The sequence below is a fragment of the Homo sapiens genome, chromosome 11, assembly GCF_000001405.40.
Source record: "Homo sapiens chromosome 11, GRCh38.p14 Primary Assembly".
Classification (NCBI taxonomy): domain Eukaryota; kingdom Metazoa; phylum Chordata; class Mammalia; order Primates; family Hominidae; genus Homo; species Homo sapiens.
Window position 1 is genome coordinate 60316016 of NC_000011.10, and position 9325 is coordinate 60325340.

Below are 9325 nucleotides of genomic sequence, written 5' to 3' on the forward strand. Positions count from 1 at the left end.
GCAAGAGAGAGAGGGCAAGCACTGGAGACATTCCAAGCAGTACAAGACATTCCAGATAGTACAAGCTCCCCATAGACCTAACCAGACACATGAACCATGCCAGTTTCTGACTTGAACTGCCCAGATCTATGCAAGAAACTCTCTATATCCCATTAAGTAGTAGTCAAGCTTGTCAAACTCATTAGGCTAGTTGCAAGTCATTAGCAAAGAAACTGACCTTGGGGCTTGCCAAGAGAGTTTAAAATTATTCTAAACTGCATATTATAAATTCTAATGGTCTTATCTTGACCAAGAGCCAAAATTCATACATTCAGGCATCCCCAGGATTAAGACAGAGCTCTTAAGTACCTCTGTAAATTAACTCTATCTCACAATATCTTCATTCAACAAATATTTATTGAGCATCTACTACATTCCAGGTACTACTGGGAATATAGAGTGAACTAACTGAACTGTCTATGACCTCATGGAGCTGACATTCTAGTTTCGTTCTACAGTTATCCTTTAGAAGGCAGTTTTAGCACATTCAATGCGAGTTCTCAGTTAAAAGTGAAAATGAAAACTTGGCATAGTTTCTAAACTTTAATTTTTTTATCATTAGCCTCTTCTCATCATACTGAAACCTCACTGACTTGCAAACTTGAGAGGAAATATACATATTTAATTTAATCTCTGAGTTTTTTGGTTGTGTGTTACTTAGCAAAATAACACAAAACTGAAGAGAAGTCAAACTTACAAAAAATGCATGCCATATGATTTCATTAATTAAAAGATCATGCCAGTGAAACTAATCACAGGTATTAGAGGTCGAGATGGTGATTACTTTTGGGGTATAGTGGCTGGAAGGGAGCAAAGGGGCTATATACCTTCTTAGTACTTGCTATTTTCCAATTTTTAATTAGGAAATAGGAACACACATGTCTTTACTTTTTGATAATTCATTGAGCTGTACATTTATGATTTATGTCCTTTATGTGCTCTTCCAACTAAAACATTGGCAGTAAATCCCTGTCTCAGATCCTGTTTTCTAGTGAACCCAGACAGAGGGTGCTTGAGCTGACATCTACTATATTCCAGGCACTACTGGAAGTATAGAGTGAACTAATTGGGCTATCTGTGACCTCATGGAGCTGACATTCTAGTTTCATTCTAGAGTTGCCATTTAGGAGGCAGTTTTAGCACATTCAGTGTGAGTTTTGAGTTAATAGTGAAAATGAAAAGTTGGCATAGTCCCTAAACTTTATTTTTTTTCCTTATTGTTAGCCTCTTTTCACCATAATGAAACCTCACTGACCTACAAACTTAAGAGGAATAATACAGATTTAATTTAATCCCTGAGTTTTTTGGTTGTGTGTTGCCCAGCAATGTAATACAATAATACTGAAGAGAAGTCAGACACACACGAAAATACATGCCATATGATTCCATTAATTAAAACGCCAAAACCAACAAAACTAATCATGGGCATTACAAACAGAGACAGTAATTACTCTTGGGGGTGTATTGGCTGGAAAGGAGCAAAAGGGCTCTGTACCTTCTTCATACAAGCTATTTTCTAATTTTTAATTGGGAGGTAAGAACACATGTGTCTTTATTTTTTGATAATTTATCGAGCTGGACATTTATGATTTATGTACTTTATGTGTTCTCCCAACAAAAACACTGGCACTAAATCCCTGTCTCAGGCTCTGTTTTCTAGTGAACCCAGGCTAACACAATGAAAATTAATTTAGAAAAAGGTTTTCCACATTCTTATGTAAATAGATTATACATGAAGACATTTATTTATGTGTAGTATATATAGAGATTTATCTATGCATTAATCATTTTTGCCATGCTATCTATGCAGGGGAAAATAAAACATTATGCCAGCATTCAAGTTTTCATTTCAAGAGAAAGAAAGAAAGAAAGAAGAAAAGAAAGAAAGGAGAAAGAAAGAAAGAGAAAGAAAGAGAAGAGAAGAGAAGGAAAGAAAGAAGGAAGGAAAGAGAGAAACTTCCAATGCAGAGCTTTACATGATAGATTTCAAAATTCAACATTACACAGTTTTTTCTTTACTTTGTAGTTCCAAGGAAACAGGACTCTGTATGAGGCTTGCTGTTAAGCCCTTTATAGACAGGTCTGCTTTTCTTGGAGCCAATAAAACACTACAAATTTAATGTTACCCAAACTCCACCCTTCTCCCAAATCATGAAATAACTTCATCTCTTCTTTTGGTTGATTAGATGCCTCTTGGTTCTCCTAGGGTGCATTATCACTTATGAAAACAAGTCAAGAAATCTATTGTGTTCGACTACATGTTTGTCTCTAGTGGTGTTTATTAGATGGACATTATCATATGTAGATAATATTTTGTTTTGCTAAACATACATACACACACAAACACACACACACACAGCCCACATGCATATATTCCTGACATTTTGAAAGTAAGTGCAGCGACATCAGCAAGATGACCAAAAGAAGTTCTTAGTGCTCATCCCTACCACTATTAACCAAAACAATGAAAAAACGACTACATTTTGAAAAAAAAAACCAAAGAAAAGCCCAGGAGTAAAGCAAAACAATAGCAAAAATCCTATAGAGCACAGAAATCCAGATGGCTACATTTTGTGTCCTGGAAACACAACATTTTAGCCAAGCCAAATAGCCACAGAGGGTACTTGAGCTGAAACAGTGGCTTCTATGGGAAATAAAATCATGGTTGAGTCAAGCAGTCCCACCTCTCAGGGCCTGAGCTAATGCAGTGTCCCACTTCTGGGTTACTACTGTCTTGACCTAGCCAAACAGTCATGCCTCCTGACACCTGAGCTAATGCAACGCCCTCCTTTCAGAAGAAATAGAATATTAGTCATTTCAAGCAGCCATGCCTGCAAGGCCTAAGCTGATGTGGTGCCTCACCTCCTAGGAAACCAAAACCTTCACTGAGCTATGCCACCCCACACAAACGGCCAAATATCTACAGTTCTCTGCCTCCCTGGAACTAGTCACTTGGAATTTGAGCTGCTGAGGTATGCTGCCTCCTAGGGAATGCAGCCATTGCTGCACTACTCTCTGCCTACCAGGACCCAAGCCACAGTTGCATCTCACCATTCTTGTATCTTTGCTGCCACTGCACTTCCCTTCACTGAGCCTGGGCTACTGCCATGTTCCATAAACCCAGAGTACAGAGTCATAATTAAATGGTGCCTCATCCCATGAGGTCTGAGTTGGTATTGCACATTGTTGACTCCAGGACCTGAATTGCAGATACATCCTCCTGTTATCCAGGGCCTGAGCCTCTGGACCACCCATCATCCTCCAGAAGTATGGTGATACTTCATTCTACCCCCGAAAGTCACAGTCATAGCTCCATCCCTGGCTCTTGCGCCTGAGCTGCTGCGGTACTCCAGAGTCACAGACCTCAGCTTTGTGGGTAATCTACATTCACCATGACCTGGAGAGTGAACCAGTGCCCCAAGACTTAGGTGGAAGTACATTCATAGACTATGGGTCCAGGACCCTGGCTCCAAAGCCACTCTAAGAGGCTGTACCTCATATCCCAAAGCTGTGTGGCCACCTGTGGGCTGTGTTAGACCCAATACTGAAAGAGATCCCCTCAGCTAAGATTCTCTAGTGTGAGGAAAATGAGTAAAAGAGGACACCAAAAGCCTTGTCACTGAGGACCCAAATAACCAATGCTGTCACCATAGCTGCCACCAACTCCTGAAGCTTAGGCCACTTTGACACCTGCAGTCATCACTGACATGGATCACAGATGAAGAAGCTGCATGATGCCTGCACCCCTGTGCACAACTGGAACCAGAGCCACCACATCCTGCCCAACTGGCAGCCTGGGACGCATTTGCAAGTGAGTCTATCCCTATAAAATCGAACCTGTAAAGTTTGAAAGAGGTGATTGCTCCATCAGATGTATCGACATGACCACCGGCATCCAAGAAATGTGAAAAGGCAAGAAAATATAAAACCACCAAAGAAATACAATAATTCTCAAGCAACTGGCCTCAATGAAATGGAAATATACAAATTGCCTGGAAAGAAATTCAAATTAACAATCTAAGAAAACTCAGTAAGATACAAGAGAATATATATAGGCAATTCAACAAAATCAGAAAAAAATATTATATGAATGAGATTCAGAAATAGAAATCATTGAAAATAATTAAACAGAAATCATGAAGCTGAAGAATTCAATGAGTAAAATAAAAAATACAATAGAACTTGAAAGGAGATTAGATCAAACAGAAAAAAGAATCCAGTAACTTAAAAGGAGGTCATTTAAAATTACCCAGGCAAAGGGGAAAAAAGGAAAAAGCAGTGAAAAAAAGTGAAGAAAACCTACAGGACCGATGAGACACTATTAATCAAATAAATTTTTGCATTATGAAAGTTCCAAAAGGAGATAAAACAGAGAAAGGACCAAAAAGCGTACTTAATGAAATAACTGCTGAAAACTTCATAGCTCTTGGAAGAGATATAGACATCCAGATCCATGAAGCTCAAAGATGACCAATAAGGTTTAAATCTTATAGGTTCTCACATTATAATCAAATTGTCAAAAGTCAATGTCAAAGAGAATTTTGAAAGTAGCAAGAAAAAAGTGAGATTTTTAAATACAAGGGGATTTCTATTATGCTATCAGAGGATTTTTTAATAGAAAGTTGCAGGGTCGGGGAGAATGGGACGCTATATAAAAAGAAATTGAAGAAAAACCAAGACTTGCCAGCAAAGAATATTTTACCCAACATGGCAATCTTTTTTTTTTTTTTTTGGTCCCAGGGTACATGTGCAGGTTTGTCACATAGGTAAATGTGTGACATGGTGGTTTGCTGCACCTATCAACCCATCAACTAAGTATTAAGCCCCACATGCATTAGCTATTTTTCCTGATGTTCTCCCTTCCCCCACCCCCCTATGCCCACCAGTAGACCCCAGTGTGTGTTGTTCCCCTCCCTGGGTCCGTATTTTCTCATTGTTCAGTTCCTACTTATGAGTGAGAACATGCTGCAATGTTTGGTTTTCTGTTCCTTCATTAGTTTGCTAAGGATAATGGCTTCCAGCTCTATTCATATCCTGCAAAGGACATGATCTCATTCCTTTTTATGGCTACATTGTATTCTATGGTGTATATGTACTACATTGCCTTTATCCAGTCTATCATTGATGGGTATTTGGGTTGATTACATGTCTTTGTTATTGTGAATAGTGCTGCAATGAACATAAGCTTGTATGTGTTTTTAAAATAGAATGATTTACATTCCTTTGGGTGTTTACCCAGTAATAGGATTACTGGATCAAGTGGCATTTCTTGTTCTAGGTCTTTGAGAAATCACCACACTGTCTTTCAAAATGATTGAACTAATTTACATTTCTACCAACAGTGTAAAAGCATTCCTATCTCTCTGCAGCATTGCCAGCATCTGTTGTTTCTTGACTTTTTAATAATCACCATTCTGACTGGTGTGAGATGGTATCTCACTGTGGCTTTGATTTGCATTTCTCTAATGATCAGTGAAGTTTAGCTTTTTTTCATACATTTGTTGCCTGCATAGATGTCTTCTTTTGAGAAGTGTCTGTTTGTGCCCTTTGTCCACTTTTTAATGGGGTTGTTTGGTTTTTTTTCTTGTAAATTTGTGTAAGTTCCTTATAGACACTGGATATTAGATCTTAGTCAGATAGATAGTTGCAAAAATTATCTCCCATTCTGTAGGTTGTCTGTTCACTCTGATGATAGTTTCTTCTGCTGTGCAGAAAATCTTTAGTTTAATTAGATCCCATTTGTCAGTTTTTGCTTTTGTTGCAATTGCTTTGGACATTTTTGTCATGATATCTTTGCCCATGCCTATGTCCTGAATGGTATTGCCTAGATTTTCTTCGAGGGTTTTTGTAGTTTTCAGTTTTATATTTAAGTCTTTAATTCTTCTTGAGTTAATATTTGTATAAGGTATAAGAAATGGTCATCCAAAAGCTTCTTAAGCTGATAAGCAACTTCAGCAAAGTCTCAGGATGCAAAATCAATGGCAAAAATCAACAGCATCCCTATACAACAACAATAGACAGGCAGACAGCCAAATCATGAATGAACTCCCATTTACAATTGCTACAAAAGGAATAAAGTACCTAGGAATACAGCTAACAAGGGAAGTAAAGGACTTCTTCAAGGAGAACTACAAGCCACTGCTCAAGAAAATCTGTGAGAAGCCAAACAAACGGAAAAACATTCCATGCTCATGGATAGGAAGAATCAATATCATGAAAATTACCATACTACCCAAAGTAATTTATAGAGTCAATGCTATTTCCATCAAATTACCATTGACATTCTTCACATATTTAGAAAAAACTATTTTAAAATTCATATGGAATAAAAAAGAGCCTGTATGGCCAAGACAATCCTAAGCAAAAAGAACACAGCTGGAGGCATCATGCTACCTGACTTCAAACTATACTACAAGGCTTCAGTAACCAAAAACGCATGATACTGATATGAAAACAGGAACACAGATGAATGGAACAGAATGGAGAACTCAGAAATAAGCCCTCACACCTACAACCATCTGATCTTTGACAAACTTGACAAAAACAAGCAATGGGGAAATGATTCCCTGTTTAATAAATAAATGCTGGGAGAACTAGCTGTGAAAGCCTCACAATCATGGTGGAAGGTGAAAATCATGTCTTACATGGTATCAGGCAAGAAAGAATGAGAGCCCAGTGAAAGGGGAAACCCCTTATAAAACCATCAGATCTTGTGAGACTTATTTACTACCATGAGAATAATATAAGAGAAACTGCCCCAATGATTCAATTATCTCTCACCAGTTCCCTTCCACAACACGTGGGAATTATGGGAGCTACAATTCAAGATGAGACTTGGGTGGGAACACACCGAAACTATATTGTAGCTTAAAATAAAGTATTCCAGCTTTAAGATGTTTTATGTAAGATTATGGTAACTACAAAACACAAAGCTATTGAAGATACACAAATGATACAGAGAAAACCATTGTGAAAGACAACGTGATGATTCCTCAAGGATCTAGAACCAGAAATACCATTTGACCCAGCAATCCATTACTGGGTATATACCCAAACGATTATAAATTATTCTACTATAAAGACACATGCACACATATGTTTATTGCAGCACTATTCACAATAGCAAAGACTTGGAACCAACCCAAATGACCATCAATAATAGACTGGATAAAAAAAAATGTGACACATACACACCATGGAATACTATGCAGCCATAAAAAAGGATTAGTTCATATCCTATGCAAGGACGATAAAGCTGGAAATCATCATTCTCAGCAAACTAACACAGGAACAGAAAACCAAACACTGCATGTTCAGAACATCACACACCAGGGCCTGTTTGGGGGTGGGGGGCTAGGGGAAGGATAGCATTATGAGAAATACCTAATGTAGATGACGAGTTGAAGGGTGCAGCAAACCACCATGGCATGTGTATACCTATGTAACAAACCTGCACGTTCTGCACATGTATCCCAGAACTTAAAGTATAATAAAAAACAGAAAGAAATAAAAAAGAATCAAACCTTAGTACTAAAGAAAATAACCAAATAACAAAGGCAGACAAGAGAGGAAGAAAAGACAATTGGATTTGCAAAAGAACCAGAAAACAATTAGCAATATGACAATCACAAGTCTTTGTTTATCACTAATATCCTTGAATTTAAGTAAATTAAATTTTTCAATTGAAAGTCAGCGTGGCTGAATCAATAAGAAACAAGATCCAAGTATGTGTTTCTGGCAAGAGACCTACTTTAGCTTTAAAGACACACAAGGCTAAAAGTGGAGGAATGGAAAAAGATATTTTATGCAAATAGAAACCAAAGGAGGTCAGAGGTGGTTATGCTTTTATCAGATAAAATAGACTTTATGTCAAAAATTGTCACAAGACAAAGAATGTTATTATTTAGTGATGAAGAGTTCAGTTAATCAGGAGGACATAACAATTATAAATATATATGCACCAAACTTTGGAGCAACTAAATATATAAAGCACATATTAATGGACATGAAGGGAGAAACAGATAGCGATACAATAATATAGGCATCTTCAATACCTTAAAAATAGATTAACCAGACAGAAAATTAATCAGGAAATTCTGAACTTGAATTGTCCACCAAATGGACCTAATGGACATATATAGAACATTCCATCCTAAAGCAACAGAATATTCATTCTTTTCTGGTGCATATGAAACATTCACTAAGATAGATTATATGTTAGGCCACAAAATAAGTGTTAATCATTAAAAAGATTGAAATTCTATCAAGTATAATTTCTGACTATACCGATACTTAACTAGAAATCAATAACTGGAGGAATATTCCTCCTCCACAAATTCACAAATATGTAGAAATTAAACAACATGCTCCTGAACAACCAAAGAAGAAATTAAAAGAGAAATTTAAAAATATCTTGAGATTAATGGCAATGAAAACACAATAAAACCTATGGAATGCAAAAAAAAAAGAAAGTTCTAAGAGGAAATTTTATAGCAATAAATGCCAGTATTTAAAAAAGAAAGATTCAAAATAAATAGTCTAACATTACACCTCAGGAAAACAGATTTAAAAAGGTCAAAATGAACACAATGTTAGCAGGAAAAAAAAGAGAAAACAAAGATGAGAAATAAAGTGATGATTAAAAAATACAAAGAAAAAATTAGTAAACTAGGATTTGATTTTTAAAAAATAAACACAACTGACAAATCTTTAGCAGAACTAATAAAAGAGAGAACACTCAAATAAATAAAATCGGAAATGAAGGTAGAGACATTACAACAGATGCCTCAGAAATAAAAAGGATAATAAGGGACTATAACGAATAATTAAAGGCCAATAATGAGATAACCTAGTGGAAATTGATAAATCTTTGGAACATACGATCTACCAAGATAGAATGAGGAAGAAATAGAAAGACTGTGCAGACTGATAACAAATAAAAAGATGGAAGTAGTAATTTAAAATTTCTCAACAAAGAAAATCTCAGGACCAGATGGCTTTATTGCTAAATTCTAAATAAATAAATAAATAAATAAATAAATAAATAAATAAAGAGTTAATACTTCTTAAACTATTCCAAACTAGACAAAGACACCATAAAAAATGAAAGTTGAGACCAGTATTTCTGAAGAATATTGATGCAGAAATCCTCAAAATATTAGAAAACTAAATTCAACAACACATCAAAAATGTTATATATCATGACCAAGTAGGATTTATCCCTGGCATGCAGAGCTGGTTTAATGTATGCAAATCAATCAGTGTGATACATCACATTAACAGAATG

The 9325-nt window shown here is 36.3% G+C and overlaps 2 annotated features.

The window, feature by feature from the left end:
- Window positions 510-569: a silencer, noted in NCBI's record as "silent region_3371". NCBI's record gives its function as "represses an Ori minimal core promoter by ATAC-STARR-seq in GM12878 lymphoblastoid cells {active_cell/tissue: GM12878}" and the evidence as "EXISTENCE:reporter gene assay evidence [ECO:0000049][PMID:35858748]".
- Window positions 3266-3766: an enhancer, noted in NCBI's record as "H3K27ac hESC enhancer chr11:60086754-60087254 (GRCh37/hg19 assembly coordinates)". NCBI's record gives its function as "activates a minimal SCP1, AML or CMV promoter by ChIP-STARR-seq in naive H9 embryonic stem cells {active_cell/tissue: H9 hESC(naive)}" and the evidence as "EXISTENCE:reporter gene assay evidence [ECO:0000049][PMID:30033119]".